General features: G+C 40.5%; 1 annotated feature.

The window, feature by feature from the left end:
- Positions 664-857: a silencer, noted in NCBI's record as "fragment chr5:54293529-54293722 (GRCh37/hg19 assembly coordinates)". NCBI's record gives its function as "represses an EF-1alpha promoter that drives an FKBP-Casp9 reporter gene in an ReSE screen in K562 erythroleukemia cells {active_cell/tissue: K562}" and the evidence as "EXISTENCE:reporter gene assay evidence [ECO:0000049][PMID:32094911]".

Consider the following 20059-nt stretch of genomic DNA (forward strand, 5'->3'; position numbering starts at 1 on the left):
CATCATTGAGCAACTTGCAGTGCACCACAAATAAATATTACTAATTTATTCAAGGGCAATTATGTAACTGTGTTTTTCATGGGCACGTCTATTTTGCTTTTCCTTTTTAATTTGTCAGCCCATTGTGAAGTCTGCCCACTGAGCCACAGGTGAGGGATTAATGCCAAACATGCTGGGTCACAACATTCAGTATTCATCCCACTGATCATCTCACTTTGCAAAACATCATAGCTGAGTGGTGTGCAGTCGTCTTGGCCCCATGAGCTGGCATGCAGTTGATTAAAGGAGGTGCTGGCTAGAGGTCTGGGGAATAGGAGAACTGTCCATGTCAGCTGTGGGAGCCCTGCTGCCAGCCATGCTATCCTGAGCTTCAGCCCCAGCATCTTGCAAACAAGAGCAAATGGCAAAGTAGTCCACACACACAAGATCTGACAAAGCAGTTCCCAGGGGAGACAGGATCAGTTTCCCTGTGACCCACGTAGAGCAATGAACAGGGAGTCAAACAGAACTAGACTTTGGTCTGTACAGCTTTCCAGCTCCTTCCCTGGTGTGATCAGAAATGGGACACAAGACTAACATGACGTGTCAGTACCTAACTCCAGCCCTGTACCATCACTCAGCATGCATGCTTAGGAGAGGCTGCTCTTTCCCGGCACAGTGGGGGCTGAAACTGAGGCTTGCGGCTCCAGGATGTGTAAGCTAGCTGAAGAATACCCCAAGGCAGCATTTGTGGTGGGAGAAGCACCAGCCCCTCTCCTGGCTTGATCATAGGCTGACCAGGATTGTTTGTCATAAGCACTGGCGCATCTAGGCTTCCATGGAGAGGCCCATCTTTTCAGGCGAGAACAGCCAATCACATTTAACAAGCTAACCATCACCTCTACCAGATGAGGGCCGCTCCATACAGTCACATACCTACCACCCACATTGCCCATCTAGGCCCTGCCTATGGCCAGAGAAGGGATTTGGACTTTTCTATCTGAGCACAAATAACAAATTTCTAAAGTATCATGTGGGTTTTCTCCATTTGTCCCTACCCACCGCAAATCCAATCTCCACTCTTTCTTGCCCTGCCTTATGCCCTCTATGGACTATATCACCCAGGTACCCCTACCCTTGGCATCTGGCTGGGTTTGGCCTTTAGGAGACACCCACAGAGGATCAGAGGAGGAGACCGGGGCCATGGTATCTCTTCCCTATGCTCTGGCCTTCGTTTCTAGCAGGGCCTGTACCCCTCAGTGCTTACAGATCCTGCTGAGCAGCCCCTCCTCCACAGCTCAGCTCTTGCTGGGCTATCCGGAGCAGCTTCCTGCCTTTGCATGTCACTGGGTGCCTCAAGTCCCTCAGCCCTGCCTGACCGTCTGTGAGTTGTCCCCTTATTAAATCTCTTATCTGAACCACCTGAGTGAGATTCAGTTTTCCGACAGGGGCCGGGCATGGTGGCACATGCCTATAATCCCAGCACTTTGGGAGACTGAGGCAGAAGGATCACTTGAGCCCAGGAGTTTGAGACCAGACTGGGCAATATGGCAAAACTCTGTCTCTACCAGAAATACAAAAATTAACGGGGCATGATGGTACATCCCTGTAGTCTCAGCTGCTCAGAAGGCTGATGTGGGAGGACTGCTTGAGCCCTGAAAATGGAAGTTGCAGTGAGCTGAGATCTCACCACTGTACTCCAGGCAACACAACAAGACCTTGTCTCAAACAAAAATAATAATAATTCTGACAGGATCTGATTGAAAGAGGAATCACAGTGGTTCTAACACTTGTGATCCATCCAGACATGTTTATGTGCTTTGTTAAAACAACATCCTGAAAGAAGTGTTGTAATGGACTTCCATGCTTAGGAAAAGAAGTGCTATAATTTGCTTCCATACTCAGGTGGGTTTTGTTCTGCCTGGAGAGTCATCCTACATGAGCTATTTCTTTAAATCAAGATGCTAAACAGTAAAAGGACCTGTTAATAATAATTTAATCCATTTATATCAAGTTTACTAAACAATTACCTTGAAAAACACATATATAAACATACCCATATGTGTATATATACATACTCCAAAATAGTATAATGGTGCAGGTTCAGATATATACTTTGTATTCACTAGCGAATTCGAGAAAACAGAATTGGTATGGGTTGGCTGTGTCCACATCCAAATCTCATCTTGAATTGTACCTCCCATAATTCCCACGTGTTGTGGGAGGGATTCAGTGGAAGATAATTGAATCATGGGGGCAGTTTCTCCCATCCTCTTCTCGTGGTAGAGAATAAGTCTCACAATGTCTGATGTTTTTATAAGGGGTTTTGTCTTTCCCTTGGCTCTCATTCTCTCTTAGCTGCCACCGTGTAAGACAGCCTTTCACCTTCCGCCATGATTGTGAGGCCTCCCTCGCCACGTGGATCTGTGAGTACATTAAACCTCTTTTTCTTTGCAAATTACCCAGTCTTGTGTATGTCTTTATCAGCAGCATGAAAAAGAACTAATACAAGAATAATCCCTGTTGACTTGAACTCAGCTCTGCACCAAGCAGACCTCATAGACATCTACAGAACTCTCCACCCCAAATCAACAGAATATACATTCTTCTGAGCACCACATCCCACTTATTCCAAAATTGACCACATAGTTGGAAGTAAAGAACTCCTCAGCAAATGTTAAAGAACAGAAATCACAACAAACTGTCTCTCAGACCACAGTGCAATCAAACTAGAACTCAGGATTAAGAAACTCACTCAAAACCAAACTACATGGAAACTGAACAACCTGCTCCTGAATGACTACTGGGTAAATAATGAAATGAAGGCAGAAATAAAGATGTTCTTTCAAACCAATGAGAACAAAGACACAACATATCAGAATCTCTGGGACACATTTAAATCAGTGTGTAGAGGGAAATTTATAGCACTAAATGCCCACAAGAGAAAGAAGGCAAGATCTAAAATCAACACCCTAACATTACAATTAAAAGAACTAGAGAAGCAAGAGCAAACACATTCAAAAGCTAACAGAAGGCAAGAAATAACTAAGATCAGAGCAGAACTGAAGGAGATAGAAACACAAAACATCCTTCAAAACATCAATGAATCCAGGAGGTGGTTTTTTGAAAAAATTAGCAAAATAGGCCACTAGCAAGACTAACAAAAAAGAAAAGAGAGAAGAATCAAATAGATGCAATAAAAAATGATAAAGGGGTTATCACCACCGATCCCACAGAAATACAAACTACCATCAGAGAATACTATAAACACATCTACACAAATAAACTAGAAAATCTAGAAGAAATGGATAAATTCCTGGACACATACACCCTCACAAGACTAAACCAAGAAGAAGTTGAATCCCTGAATAGACCAATAACAGGCTCTGAAATTGAGGCAATAATTAATAGCCTACCAACAAAAAAAAGTCCAGGACCAGATGGATTCACAGCCAAATTCTACCAGAGGTACAAGGAGGAGCTGGTACCATTCTTTCTGAAACTATTCCAATCAATAGAAAAAAAGGGAATCCTCCCTAACTCATTTTATGAGGCCAGCATCATCCTGATACCAAAGCCTGGCAGAGACACAACAAAAAAAGAGAATTTTAGACCAATATCCCTGATGAACATCGAAGCAAAAATCTTCAATAAAATACCGGCAAGACGACTCCAGCAGTACATCAAAAAGCTTATCCACCATAATCAAGTTGGCTTCATCCCTGGGATGCAAGTCTGGTTCAACATATGCAAGTCAATAATGTAATTCATCACATAAACAGAACCAAAGACAAAAACCACATGATTATCTCAATAGACACGGAAAAGGCATTTGACAAAATTCAACAGCCCTTCGTGCTAAAAACTCTCAATAAACTAGGTATTGATGGGACATATCTCAAAATAATAAGAGCTATTTATGACAAACCTACAGCCAATATCATACTGAATGGACAAAAACTGGAAGAATTCCCTTTGAAAACTGGCACAAGACAGGGATGCCCTCTCTCACAACTCCTATTCAATATAGTGTTAGAGGTTCTGGCCAGGGCAATCAGGTAGAAGAAAGAAATAAAGGGTATTCAATTAGGAAAAGAGGAAGTCAAATTGTCCCCGTTTGCGGATGACATGATTGTATATCTAGAAAACCCCATTGTCTCAGCCCAAAATCTCCTTAAGCTGATAGGCAACGTCAGCAAAGTCTCAGGATACAAAATCAATGTGCAAAAATCACAAGCATTCTTATACACCAATAACAGACAAACAGAGAGCCAAACCATGAGTGAACTCCCATTTACAATTGCTTCAAAGAGAATAAAATATCTAGGAATCCAACTTACAAGGGATGTGAAGGACCTCTTCAAGGAGAATTACAAACCACTGCTCAATGAAATAAAAGAGGACACAAACAAATGGAAGAACATTCCATGCTCATGGATAGGAAGAATCAATATTGTGACAATGGCCATACTGCCCAAGGTAATTTATAGATTCAATGCCATCCCCATCAAGCTACCAATGACTTTCTTCACAGAATTGGAAAAAGCTACTTTAAAATTCATATGGAATGAAAAAAGAGCCCGTATTGTCAAGACAATCCTAAGCAAAAAGAACAAAGCTGGAGGCATCATGATACCTGGCTTCGAACTATATTACAAGGCTACAGTAACCAAAATAGCATGGTACTGGTACCAAAACGGAGATATAGACTAATGGGACAGAACAGAGGCCTCAGAAATAACACTACACATCTACAACCATCTGATCTTTGCTGAACATGACAAAAACAAGAAATGGGGAAAGGATTCCCTGTTTAATAAACGGTGCTGGGAAAACTGTCTAGCCATATGTAGAAAGCTTAAACTGCATCCCTTCCTTATACCTTATACAAAAATTAACTCAAGATGGATTAAAGACTTAAATGTTACACCTACAGCCATAAAACCTGTAGAAGAAAACCTAGGCAATACCATTCAGGACATAGGCATGGGCAAGGACTTCATGACTAAAACACCAAAAGCAGTGGCAACAAAAGCCAAAATAGATCTAATTAATGGGATCTAATTAAACTAAAGAGCTTCTGCACTGCAAAAGAAACTACCATCAGAGTGAACAGGCAACCTACAGAATGAGAGAAAATCTTTGCAATCTACCTACTTGACAAAGGGCTAATAACCAGAATCTACAAAGAACTCAAATAAAGTTACAAGAAAAAATCAAACAACCCCATCAAAAAGTGGGCAAAGGATATGAACAGACACTTCTCAAAAGAAGACATTTATGCAGCCAACAGACACATGGAAAAATGCTCATCATCACTGATTAACAGAGAAATGCAAATCAAAACCACAATGAGATACCATCTCACACAAGTTAGAATGGCGATCATTAGAAAGTCAGGAAACAACAGGTGCTAGAGAGGATGTGAAGAAACAGGAACACTTTTACACTGTTGGTGGGACTGTAAGCTAGTTCAACCATTGCAGAAGACAGTGTGGCGATTCCCCAAGGATCTAGAACTAGAAATACCATTTGACCCAGCCATCCCATTACTGGGTATATACCCAAAGGATTATAAATCATGCTACTATAAATTCACATGCACACGTACGTTTATTGCAACACCATTCACAGTAGCAAAAACTTGGAACCAACCCAAATGTCATTAATGACAGACTGGATTAAGAAAATGTGGTACATATACACCATGGAATACTATGCAGCCATAAAAAAGGATGAGTTCATGTCCTTTGTAGGGACATGGATGAAGCTGGAAACCATCATTCTGAGCAAACTCTTGCAAGGACAGAAAACCAAACACTGCATGTTCTCACTCATAGGTGGGAATTGAACAATGAGAACACATGGACACAGGGCAGGGAACAATACACATCACACATCGGGACCTGTCATGGGATGTGGGGAAGGGGGAGGGATAGCATTAAGAGAAATACCTCATGTAAATAATGAGTTAATGGGTGCAGCACACCAACATGGCACATGTATACATATGTAACAAACTTGCACGTTGTGCACATGTACCCTAGAACTCAAAGTATAATTTAAAAAATAAATAAATAAAAGAATAATCCCTGTTGTAGATTTGTCTGAATTATCTCTCGTCTCTTACTTGCATTGCCCACATTCTGATAATCCTTCTATGTATGTTCCTTGTTGATCTTGTTTTATGTCCGGGACTTACTTGACTCTCTCTCTATAGTATAAATTTCAGCAGGGATTGAGCCTTCATTGCTAAATTGCTACGGAGTCTTGGCTTTGCTCTGATTTACTTGGCAAAATGCTGGCTGCCTGCTTCTTTTATTCCTTGTTTTCCCATCAGAAGAGTAATCTTTATTTAGTAAGTTGAAAATATAGTTCAGGGTGCCAATTGTTGCCAGTGATTGTTATTACTACTTTAAAATTTGAAAATGAAGGGATTTCCCCCAAAAAGTTATTTCTAAAATGGAAGATAGGTTTACCATCTGCTAGTTTTTGACCCAGAGATTTCCCATCAGTTTTCTGACCCTTTTCTGCAAGTGTATTGGTCATTTGGATGCACATAATCTGCCTCATCAGCAGTCTCCCTTCCCTGGATCTCTTCTGACACATTCACAAAACAACATCTGGGAATAAAAGCCTTAAGAATAAACAATGGAAGTGTTCTAGATGTCTGGGATGGAACGTGACTTGTCTGCTAGAAGAGTTTTCCTTCCTCCCTGAATTATGAGTTATTGAAAACTTCCTTGTCTTATAGAACACTTTGAGCACTTCGGTTTGGATTCCACAACAAGCATTCTTGGCTTTGATTTGGGTTGTTTTTGTTTTTGTTTTTTGCATAATATCAGCCAGTACTGTAACCTGCTGGCTTGGGTCCTTGGGTCCTATTGAGTGAGTCACGAGGACATTTTTCTGACTCTGACTCCAGAAGACTTTGTTCTTAAAGCAAGTTAGGAACATAGGGGAAGTGCCACTCTGGGACTAGACCTTCTTCCCTAACATCATGCTATGCTACTGCCCGACTTCCATTAGTCTTACTATTTATTACATTGGAAATGGCTTGTATACCTGTGTGCGCTCATGTGTGCATGTGTATATGTGCATGTGAATGCAATCTGTAGACTGGATGCTCCATCCTCTGCCTGGGGGCCTCACTCTTTAGGTTCTTTGCTTCTTCAGAGAGGTGTTTAAAACTGATGTTAGTGAAAATAGTACTTTCTGACTGAAATCCAAACTTTAAAATATTTCTCTAGTCATCTTCCGCATAACATACATACACATTGGGCAGAAAATGCATTTGCTTAGTCCTTCCAGTGTGACAGTTTTAAATATCCCCGGGCAACAACCACACAAAGGCTTCTGGCTCATCTGTGACCCAACAACATGCAAAAACAAAACATCATGCCTAGTGCCAGATTGTTACATACTCAAAGCAGGTGATGCCCATGTGGTGTGATTTAACAGGAACAAGGAATATTCTCAATCCAAACTATCTCCATCCCTGTCATCACTCTGGGCATCTCATCAGTGGAAATCCTTCCTCTGAATCTTCAATTTTTTTTAATATTTAAGAAACACTAAATAAAATGAGAATACACTGAAAAGTGACAACACTTTAAATTATTCTTGAGCAGTGAGATGTTGGTGGATATTTGCTGACAATTAAACCCTTGCAGAAGAGGACTGTTCAGAGAAACAGAAACACTGAGAGTGGAGATGGCAGGATTCATCACCTGCTTCCAAATTTGATCTTGAATCGATTTGACCAGTTCTGGTAATTCTGTGTTTTTTGGCAAATTTCAGAAAGCATGGAGGGAACTAAAAGACAGATATTGAAACTTCATTTTGTTTATTAAGAGAGAAATGGGCAGAAGTGGATTTTGAAACATGTTCTTTCCTGTTGACACATGTTCAAAGAATGTCTGGAGGAAATACTAAGTTAAAATACAGACTGATTCAACTATTGGCATCAAATCACTTACAGTGAAATATGGTTGCTATCTTGGACATAAGCAAATAGAAAAGAAGCTTCTCAACATTAAAATTTTGTTGAGGAAAACAATGAAAATCTTAATTTAGAATCTATTTTATGTTATTTTTATTTTATCATTGTGAATTCCCTTGGAGACCTTTATTCAAAATGACTCTATTATATCCCTAGTTCCTGATATTACTGGTGTAAAGAATACAGGGAGAAAAGGCTTTAGTATTTAGAATATACAATTAACAACTATAAATGTTCACCTGTGAATATTTCCACTGTAAGGTAAATTTTTAATCTTCCCCATAGAAAGTCAGGAAAGGTAGTCGACAGATGACAAGTTATAAAATCTTGACTAAATGCATTTGGCACAACCGTTTGTTTACTCACTTAGCAAGTCTATAGAATGTACAGTGTACTCTGTGGGGGCTAAACAGAGGAATATTAAGGTGTAACATATGCTATTCCCAACCTTGCTAATGGAACATTTATTTTGTTCATGTCTGTCTTCCTCACTGATGATGACCCAAATCCCAACTCGGCGGATATGTCTAAGTCAGTCCAATGGAAAATTCTATTCCCTTGCTGGTGACTGGCTTCAGGAAAGCATGTGATGTTGTTCTGTCCAGTGAGATGTGAGAGGGGAGAGGTGCTTCTTGGGAAAATGTGCAATCCTAAAAGGCACCTATAGGAACAGCTGCTCCCTCCTTCCCTTTATCCTTGTTGTGGCCAGATGTGACACCTGGGACACAAGGTTAGTGAGTATGAGGACTGGGAAAGCACATCAGAGTCTTGATAGCAACATTGAGCACTGTATTGATCAACCCTGGTGCCACCTTCCCTCTGAGCTTCTTATTATGCGATAAAAGGAATTTCCTCATTGTTTAAGTCCATTTCTGTTAGATTCCCTGTTATTTGCAGTTCAGAGTATTTCTTGCTGGTACAAAGTGCATAGATGCAGCCCTCAGGAAGTTACCAATCTCAGAGATGAACAGAGAGATAAATAGGGAAAATATGAAAATATAATAATATTGTGCAAGATGTTGACTCTGTCACTTCTATGGGTCCCTACTACTTTTAGAAAAAGGAAAAAGCACTTCCATCTGGAATGATCAGAAAACACTGTGGAGAAAGTGGCATTTCCCATAACACGTGAGTAATAGGGTAAGTGCTTGACTGGCATGGAGTTAGTGAGTAGAAAATAATCAATTTTTACTTAACAGTAAGGAAGTAAGAGGAGAGCAGTAGAAGAAAAAGTTATTGGAGCAATATTATGAAGAGAGGTCAAGGTAGAAAAACAAATCCACAATGCAGTTGATGGTTGACATTCTGGGAGTGGGAAAAATCCTCACAGTGTCTTCCATCCTGAGTTCTGTAGAATCTGTGAAAACCATGCTCTATAAAAAGAACTGTTCTGTGGTCCAGAAAGTCCCAGAAACTTAGCATACCACATAACCCCTTGGTTATTAACAGTACACCTTAGTGTTCAAAGGCCCTTAGAAGTCATATACCAGAACTAAAGCTGGGCAAGATGGTATATGCCTACAGTCCCAGCTACTTGGGAGGCTTAGGCAGAGGATTACTTGAACCCAGGAATTTGAGTTCAGCCTGGACAACATAGTGAGAACCCCCATCTCTTAAAAAAAAAAAAAAAAAAAGAGGGTGAGTGATCAAGATGGCCGACTAGAAGCAGCTAGGGTTCGTGGCTCTCACAGAGAGGAATGAAAGGGGCAAGTAAACACAGCACCTTCGACTGAAACATCCAGGTACTCACATTGGGACTAATCAAAGAAGCAATTCAACCCACAGAGAACAGAGAAAAGCAAGGCAAAATGATGGCCCACCCAGGAGCAACATGGAGCCAAGGGAACTTCCTCCTCCCACGGAAGTGGTGAGTAAATGTGCAACCCCAGGAAATCATGTTTCTCCGACAAATCTTTGCAACCCTCAGCTCAGGAGATCCCTCATGAACCCACTCCACCAGGGCCATCAGTCTGACAAACAGAACTACAGGGAGTCTCGGCAGATCAGCCTCTCAGGCATGCACAGAGGCCCAGGAGCTTTACATACTCCAGTCTGGGCTTCCTGGCAAAAGTACCCAGGAAAAGTAACCCAGCAAAGTGGGAGGTTAGTCCTCTGTGCATACCTTTAGGAAAGAGGCTGAATCCAGGGGGCCAAGCAGTGACATTCTGGAGGCCCCACTTCCACAGTGCCTCACAGGATAAGAGTCACCACTTGGAATTCCAGCCAGCCACCCGCAACAGTGTCACAACCACCTGAGATGGATTTCCTGGGGGAAGGGATGGGCCTCCATTTTTCCTGTTTGGGCAACTCAGCCGTTCCATCCTGGAGGCTTTGGAGAGTCCAAAACAACCAGGGATGGAAGGGGACCCCCGGCACAGCACAGCTGCTTTACCAAAATGTGGCCAGACTACTTCTTTAAGCAAGTCCCCAATCTGTTCCTCCTCACTCGGCAGGACCTTCCAACTGGGGCCTCCAGCCATCCCTGCCAATGTTCTCTGGCCTACAGTGGTATGAATTCTCCCTAGGACAAAGTTCCTGGGGGTATGGGCAGGCTGTTTGGGAGACTTAGATGTTCCAGCCTGTTCAGAAGTGGTACCCTAGCACAGCACAGCTGCTCTACAAAGGCATGGCCAGACTGCTTCTTTAAGCAGGTTCCCAATCCCATTCCTCCTGACTAGGGTGAGAGTCCCAGCCAGGATCTCCAGCCACCTCCTACAGTTGCATTTGGACCAGCAACAAGTCCATACCTCCCTGGGACAGAGCTCCCAGAGGAAAGGGCAGGCTGCCATCTTTGCTGTTTCACAGCAGCCTTTGCTTGTGATACTTCCAGGTACTGGAAAATCTGAGGTAACTAGGGACTAGAGCAGACCCCAAGCAAACCACAGGAGCCCAATGGAAAAGTGGCCAGACTGTTCAAATAAAATAAAAATAAAACCATCCAAAGGTCAGCAACCTCAAAGATTGAAGATAGATAAGCCCACAATGATGTGAAAAAATCAGCACAAGAATGCTGAAAACTCAAAAAACCAGAGTGCCCTCTTTTGTCCAAATGACTGCAGCCTCTCTCTAGCAAGGGTTCAGAACCAGGCTGAAACTGAGATGGCTCAAATGACAGAAACAGGCTTCAGAATGTGGATACTAATGAAGTTCACTGAGCTAAATGAGCACATTGTAACCCAATGGGGGGAAACTAAAAATCATGATAAAACATTGCAGGAGCTGGCAGAGAAAATAGTCAGTATAGTGAAGAATGTAACTGACCTGATAGAGCTGAAAAACACACTACAAGAATTTCATAATGCAATCACAAGTATTAGTAACAGAATAGACCAAGCAGAGGAAACAATCTCAGAGCTTGAAGGCTGTCTTTCTGAAATAAGACAGGCATACAAGAATAGAGAAAAAAGAATAAAAAGGACCGAACAAAACATCAAAAAACTGGAGAATGGGATTATGTAAAAAGACCAAATCTATGACTGATTGGTGTACTTGAAAGAGATGGGGAGAATGGAACCAATTTGGAAAACATATTTCAGGATATCATCCAGTGATTGTATTATGAAATTCTTATAGTGTGTTTTTCAGCTCTATCAGGTCAGTTACATTCTTCCCCAACATAGCTAGACAGGCCAACATTCAAATTCAGGAAATGCAGAGAACCTCATTAAGATACTCCACAAGAAGATCATCCCCAATACACATAATCATCAGATTCTCCAAGGTCCAAGTGAAAGAAAAAATGTTAAGGGCAGCTAGAGAAGTCCAGGTCACCTACAAAGGAAAGCCCACCAGACTATAATAATGGACCTCTCAGCAGAAACTGTATAAGCCAAAACAGATTGGGGGCCAATATTCAACATTCTTAAAGAAAAGAAATTCCAAACAAGAATTTCATACCCCAAAATAAGCTTCATAAGTGAAGGAGAAGTAAGATCCTTTTCAGACAAGCAAATGCTGAGGGAATTCATCACCACCAGAAATTCCTTAAAAGAGTTCCTGAAGGAAGCACTAAATATGAAAAGGAAAGACCATTACTAGCCACTACAAAAACACACTGAAGCACACAGACCAGTGATGTTACAAAGCAACCACATAAACAAGTCTGCAAAAAGCCAGCTAATATCATGATGACAAGATCAAATCCACACATATCAATACTAACCTTAAATGTAAATGGGCTAAATGCCCCAACTAAAAGACACAGAGTGGCAAGCGGATAAAGAAGCAAGACCCATTGGTATGCTATCTTCAAAAGACCCATCTCACATGCAGTGACACACATAGGCTCAAAATAAAAGGATGGAGGAAAATCTACCAAGCAAATGGAAAACAGAAAAAAGTAGGGGTTGCAATCCTAGTTTGTGACAAAACAAACTTTAAACCAACAAAGATCAAAAAAGATGAAGAAGGGCATTACATAAAGATAAAGTGTTCAATTGAACAAGAAGATCTAAGTATTCTAAATATATATGTACCCAACACAGGAGCACTCAGATTCATAAAGTAAGTTCTTAAAGACCTTCAAAGAGACTTAGACTTACACAAAATAATAGTGGGAGACTTTAACATCCCACTGACAATATTAGACAAAGATATTTAGGACCTGAACTCAGCTCTGGGTCAGGCAGACTTGATAGACATCTATAGAACTCTCCACCCAAAAACAAGAGAATATACATTCTTCTTATGACCACATGGCACTTACTCTAAAATTGATCACATAATCAGAGGTAAAACACTCCTCAGCAAATGCAAAAGAACTGAAATCATAACAAACAGTCTCTCAGACAGCAGTGCAAGCAAATTAGAACTCAAGACTAAGAAATTCACTTAAAACCATACAATTACATAGAAATTGAATAAAGTACTCCTGAAAGACATTTGGGTAAATAATGAAATTAAGGCAGAAATCAAGTTCTTTGAAACTAATGATAAAAAAGATTCAACATACCAGAATCTTTGGGACAGCTAACACGGTGTTAATAGGGAAATTTATAGCACTAAATGCCCACATCAAAATGTTAGAAAGATCTCAAGTTAACAACCTAACATCACAACTAAAAGAACTAGAGAACCAAGAGCAAACAAACCTCAAAGCCAGCAGAAGACAAGAAATAACCAAAATCAGAGCTGAACTGAAGGAGATAGAGACATGAAAAAACATTCAAAAGACCAGTGAATCAGGAGCCGGTCTTTTGAAAAAAATAATAAAATAGATAGCCCACTAGCTAGACTAATAAAGAAGAAAAGAGAGAAGATTTAAATAAACACAATGAGAAATGAAAAGGGGAATGTTACCCCTGACCCCACAGAAATGCAAACAACTATCCAAGAATGTTATAAACACTTCTGGGCACATAAGCCATCAAATCTAGAAGAATTGGATAAATTCCTGGACACATACACCATCCCAAGACTGAACCAGGAAGAAACTGAATCCCTGAACAGACCAATAATGAGTTCTGAAATTGAGGCAGTAATAAATAGCCTACCAACCAAAAAAAGGCCAGGACAAAATGAATTCACAGCTGAATTCCACCAGATGTACAAAGAAGAACTGGTACCATTCCTACTGAAACTATTCTAAAAAATTGAAAAGGAGGAACTCCTCCCCAACTCATTCTACGAGGCCAGCATCATCCTGATACCAAAACTTGACAGAGATGGAAACAAACAAACAAACAAACAAAAACTTCAAGCCAATATCCTTGATGAACACTGATGCAAAAAATCCTCAACAAAATACTGACAAACTGAATCCAGCAGCACATCAAAAAGCTTATCCACCACAATCAAGAAGGCTTCATCCCCAGGAAGCAAGGTTGGTTCAACATATGCAAATCAATAAATGTGATTCATCACATAAACAGAACTAAAGACAAAAACCACATGATTATCCCCACAGATACAGAAAAGGCTTTTAATAAAATTCAACATCCATTCATGTTAAAAACTCTCAATAAACTAGGTATTAAAGGAACATACCTCAAAAATAATAACAGCCATATATGAGAAACCCACAGCCAACATCATACTGAATGGGCAAACGCTGGAAGCATTCTCCTTGAAAACCAGCACAAAACAAGGATGTCCTCTCTCACCACTCCTATTCAACATAGTATTGGAAGTTCTGGCCAGGGCAATCAGGCAAGAAAAATAAACAGCATTCAAATAGGAAGAGAGGAAGTCCAACTATCCCTATTTGCAGATAACAGGATCCTATATCTAGAAAACCCCATCATCTCAGCCCAAAAGCTTCTTAAGCAGATAAATAACTTTAGCAAAGTCTCAGGATACAAAACTGATGTGCAAAAATCACTATCATTCCTATACACCAAAAACAAACAAGTCAAGAGCCAAATCACGAACAAACTTTGATTCACAATTGCCACAAAAATAATAAAATACCTAGGAATACAGCTAACCAGGGAGGTGAAGATCTCTACAAGAAGAGCTACAAAATACTGCTCAAATAAATCAGAAATGACAAAAACAAATGGAAAAATATTTCATGCTCATAAACAAGAAGAATCAATATCATTAAGATGACCATACTGCCATTTATAGATTTAATTTTATAATGCAATTTATAGATTCAATGCTATTCCTGTCAAACTACAAATGACATTCTTCACAGAACTAGAAAAAAACTATTTTAAAATTCATATGGAACCAACAAAGAGCCTGAATTGCCAAGGCAATCTTAAGCAAAAAGAACAAAGCTGGAGGTGTCATGCTATCCAACTTCAAATTATATTACAGGGCTACAGTAACCAAAGCAGCATGGTACTGTTATAAAAACAGACACATAGACAGTGAAATAAAATAGAAAGCCCAGAAATAAGGCTACACACCTACAACCATCTGATCTTCAACAAAGCTGACAAAAACAAACAGTGGGGAAAGGATTCCCTTTTCAATAAATGGTGCTGGGATAACCATTCTACCCAACCATTCCATTACTGGGTATATACCCAAAGAAATATAAATCATTCTGTTATAAAGACATGTGCACACATATGTTTGTTGCAGCACTATTCACAAGAGCAAAGACATGGAGTCAACCTAAATGTCCATCAATGATAGACTGGAAAAATAAAATGTGATATATATACACCATGAAGTACTATGCAGCCATAAAAAAACGAGATCATGTCCTTTGCAAAGACATGGATGGAGCTGGAGGCCATTATTCTTAGCAAACTACAAGAACATAAAACCAAATACCACATGTTCTGATTTGTAAGTGGGAACAAAATGATGAGAACACATGGACACACAGAGGAGAACAGCACACACTCGGGCCTTTCAGAGGGTGGAGGGTGGGAGGATCAGGAAAAACAACCAATGAGTTCTAGGCTTAATACCTGGAGGACAGGAAGAATCAATATCATTTACCATTAAAAAGCCTATACTGCCCAAAGAAATTTATGGATTCAGTGCTATTCCCATTAAACTGTCATTGACATTCTTCACAGAACTAGTAAAAACTATTTTAAAATTCATATAGAACCAAAAAAAGAGCCTGAATAGCCAAGGCAACACTAAGCAAAAAGAACAAAGCTGGCGGCATCACACTACCTGACTTCAAACTATGCTACAGGCCTACAGTAACCAAAACAGCATGGTACTGGTACAAGAACAGACATAGACGAATTTAAACAAAGTTCAGTCTTGTTCTGGTCTTTTTATTCTTTTTTTTAACCTTTATTTTAAGTTCAGGGTTACAAGTGCAGATTTGTTACATAGGTAAACTTGTGTCATAGGGGTTTGTTGTACAGATTATTCAATCAACTGACTCATCAACCAACATTAAAAATTTAGAAGACTGAAGGGCAGTTCCAAAATGGCCAAATAGGAACAGCTCCAGTCTACAGCTCCCAGTGTGAGCAACAAAGAAGATGGGTGATTTCTGCATTTCCAACTGAGGTACTGGGTTCATCTCACTGGGGCTCGTCTGACAGTTGGGGAAGGACAGTGGGTGCAGCCCACTGAGTGTGAGCTGAAGCAGGGTGAGGAGGCATCGCCTCACCCAAGGAGAGCAAGGGGTCAGGGAATTCCCTTTCCTAGCCAAGGGAAGGGGTGACAAACGGCACCTGGAAAATCGGGTCACTCCCACCCTAATATTGCACTTTTCCAATGGTCTTAGCAAATGGCACACCAGGAGATTATATCCCGTACCTGGCTCGGAGGGTCCCACGCCCATGGAGCCTCACTCATTGCTAGCACAGCAGTCTGAGATTGAACTGCAAGGCAGCAGCGAGGCTCGGGGGAGGGGCGCCCACCATTGCTGAGGCTTCAGTAGGTAAACAAAGAGGCCAGGAAGCTCAAACTGGGTGGATCCCACTGCAGCTCAAGGAGGCCTGCCTCTGTAGACTCCACCTCTGGGGGCAGGGCATAGTCAAACAAAAGGCAGCAGAAACCTCTGCAGACTTAAATGTCCCTGTCTGACAGCTTTGAAGAGAGTAGTGGTTCTCCCAGCATGGAGTTTGAGATCTGAGAACAGAGAGACTGCCTCCTCAAGTGGGTCCCTGACCCTTGAGTAGCCTAACTGGGAGGCACCCCCCAGTAGGGGCAGATTGACACCTCACACAGCTGGGTACCCCTCTGAGACGAACCTTCCAGAGGAATGATCAGGAAGCAACATTTACTGTTCAGCAATATTTGCTGTTCTGCAGCCTCCGCTGCTGATACCCAGGCAAACAGGGTCTGGAGTGGACCTCCAGCAAACTCCAACAGACTTGCAGCTGAGGATCCTGACTGTAGAAGGAAAACTAACAAACAGAAAGGACATCCACACCAAAACCCCATCTGTATGTCACCATCATCAAAGACCAGAGGTAGATAAAACCACAAAGATGGGGGAAAAACAGAGCAGAAAAGCTGAAAATTCTAAAAATCAGAGCACATCTCCCCCTCCAAAGGAACACAGCTCCTCACCAGCAAAGGAATAAAGCTGGATGGAGAATGACTTTGATGAGTTGAGAGAAGAAGGCTTCAGACGATCAAACTTCTCCGAGCTAAAGGAGGAAGTTCAAACCCAATGCAAAGAAGCTGAAAACCTTGAAAAAAGATTAGACAAACGGCTAACTGGAATAACCGGTGTTGAGAAGTCCTTAAATGACCTGATGGAGCTGAAAACCATGGCATGAGAACTATGTGATGAATGCACAAGCTTCAGTAGCTGATTTGATCAACTGGAAGAAAGCATGTAACGTAAAAACATTACAAATTGTAAAGACTTATCAATGCTAGGAAGAAACTGCATCAACTAATGAGCAAAATAACCAGCTAACATCATAATGACAAGATCAAATTCACACATAACAATATTAACCTTAAATGTAAATGGGCTAAATGTTCCAATTAAAAGACACAGACTGGCAAGTTGGATAAAGAGTCAAGACCCATCAGTGTGCTGTATTCAGGAGACCCATCTCACTTGCAGAGACACACATAGACTCAAAATAAAGGGATGGAGAAAGATGTACCAAGCAAATGGAAAGCAAAAAAAGGCAGGGGTTGCAATCCTAGTCTCAGATAAAACAGACTTTAAACCAACAAAGATCAAAAGAGACAAAGAAGGCCATTACATAATGGTAAAGGGATCATTTCAACAAGAAGAGCTAAATATCTTAAATATATATGCACCCAATAAAGGAGCACCCAGATTCATAAAGCAAGTCCTTAGAGATCTACAAAGAGACTTAGACTCCCACACAATAATAATGAGAGGCTTTAACACCCCACTATCAACATTAAACAGATCAACAAGACAGAAAGTTAACAAGGATATCCAGGAATTGAACTCAGCTCTGCACTAAGCGGACCTAACAGACATCTACAGAACTCTCCACCCCAAATCAACAGAATATACATTTTTCTCAACACCACATTGCTCTTATTCCAAAATTGACCACATAGTTGGAAGTAAAGCATGCCTCAACAAATGTAAAAGAACAGAAATTATAACAAACTGTCTTTCAGACCACAGTGCAACCAAACTAGAACTCAGGATTAAGAAACTCACTCAAAACCAAACAACTACATGGAAACTGAACAACCTGCTCCTGAATGACTACTGGGTAAATAACGAAATGAAGGCAGAAATAAAGATGTTCTTTCAAACCAATGAGAACGAAGACACAACATATCAGAATCTCTGGGACACATTTAAATCAGTTTGTAGAGGGAAATTTATAGCACTAAATGCCCACAAGAGAAAGCAGGAAAGATCTAAAATTGACACCCTAGCATCACAATTAAAAGAACTAGAGAAGCAAGAGCAAACACGTTCAGAAGCTAGCAGAAGGCAAGAAATAACTAAGATCAGAGAAGAACTGAAGGAGATAGAAACACAAAAAACCCTTCAAGAAATCAATGAATCTAGGAGCTGGTTTTTTGAAAAGATCAACAAAATTGATAGACCACTAGCAAGACTTATAAAGAAGAAAATAGAGAAGAATCAAATAGATGCAATAAAAAATGATAAAGGGGATATCACCACCGATCCCACAGGAATACAAACTTCCATCAGAGACTACTATAAACACCTCTATGCAAATAAACTATAAAATCTAGAAGAAATGGATAAATTCCTGGACACATACACCCTCACAAGACTAAATCAGGAAGAAGTTGAATCCTTGAATAGACCAATAACAAGTTCAGAAATTGAGGCAATAATTAATAGCTTACCAATCAAAAAAAGTTCAGGACCAGACGGATTCACAGCCAAATTCTACCAGAGGTACAAGGAGGAGCTGGTACCATTCCTTCTGAAACTATTCCAATCAATAGAAAAAGAGGGAATCCTCCCTAACTCATGTTATGAGGCCAGCATCATCCTGATATCAAAGCCTGGCAGAGACACAACAAAAAAACAATTTTAGACCAATATCTCTGATGAACATCAATGCAAAAATCCTCAATAAAATACTGACAAACCAACTCCAGCAGCACATCAAAAAGCTTACCCACCATGATTAAGTGGGCTTCATCCCTGGGATGCAAGGCTGGTTCAACATACAAAAATCAATAAACATAATCCAGCATATAAACAGAACCAAAGACAAAAACCACATGATTATCTCTATAGATGCAGAAAAGGTCTTTGACAAAATTCAACAGCCATTCATGCTAAAAACTCTCAATAAATTACGTATTCATGGGACGTATCTCAAAATAATAAGAGCTATTTATGACAAACCCACAGCCAATATCTTACTGAATGGACAAAAACTGGAAGAATTCCCTTTGAAAACTGGCACAAGACAGGGATGCCCTCTCTCACCACTCCTATTCAACATAGTGTTGGAAGTTCTGCCCAGGGCAATCAGGTAGGAGAAAGAAATAAAGGGTATTCAATTAGGAAAAGAGGAAGTCAAATTGTCTCTGTTTGCAGATGACGTGATTACATATTTAGAAAACCCCATTGTCTCAGCCCAAAATCTCCTTAAGCTAATGAGCAACGTTAGCAAAGTCTCAGGATACAAAATCAATGTGCAAAAGTCACAAGCGTTCCTATACACCAATAACAGACAAATAGAGAGTCAAATCATGAGTGAACTCCCATTCACAATTGCTTCAAAGAGAATAAAATATCTAGGAATCCAACTCACAACAGATGTGAAGGACCTCTTCAAGGAGAACTACAAACCACTGCTCAATGAAATAAAAGAGGATACAAACAAATGGAAGAACATTCCATGCTCATGGATAGGAAGAATCAATATTGTGAAAATGGCCATACTGCCCAAGGTAATTTATAGATTCAATGCCATCCCCATCAAGCTACCAATGACTTTCTTCACAGAATTGGAAAAAACTACTTTAAAGTTCATATGGAACCAAAAAAGAGCCTGCATTGCCAAGACGGTCCTAAGCCAAAAAAAAAAAGCTGGAGGCATCACGCTACCTGACTTCAAACTATACTACAAGGCTACAGTAACCAAAACAGCATGGTACTGGTACCAAAACAGAGATAAAGACTAATGGGACAGAACAGAGGCCTCAGAAATAATACGACACATCTACAACCATCTGATCTTTGATGAATGTGACAAAAACAAGAAATGG

The sequence above is a fragment of the Homo sapiens genome, chromosome 5, assembly GCF_000001405.40.
Source record: "Homo sapiens chromosome 5, GRCh38.p14 Primary Assembly".
NCBI classification, from domain to species: Eukaryota; Metazoa; Chordata; class Mammalia; order Primates; family Hominidae; genus Homo; species Homo sapiens.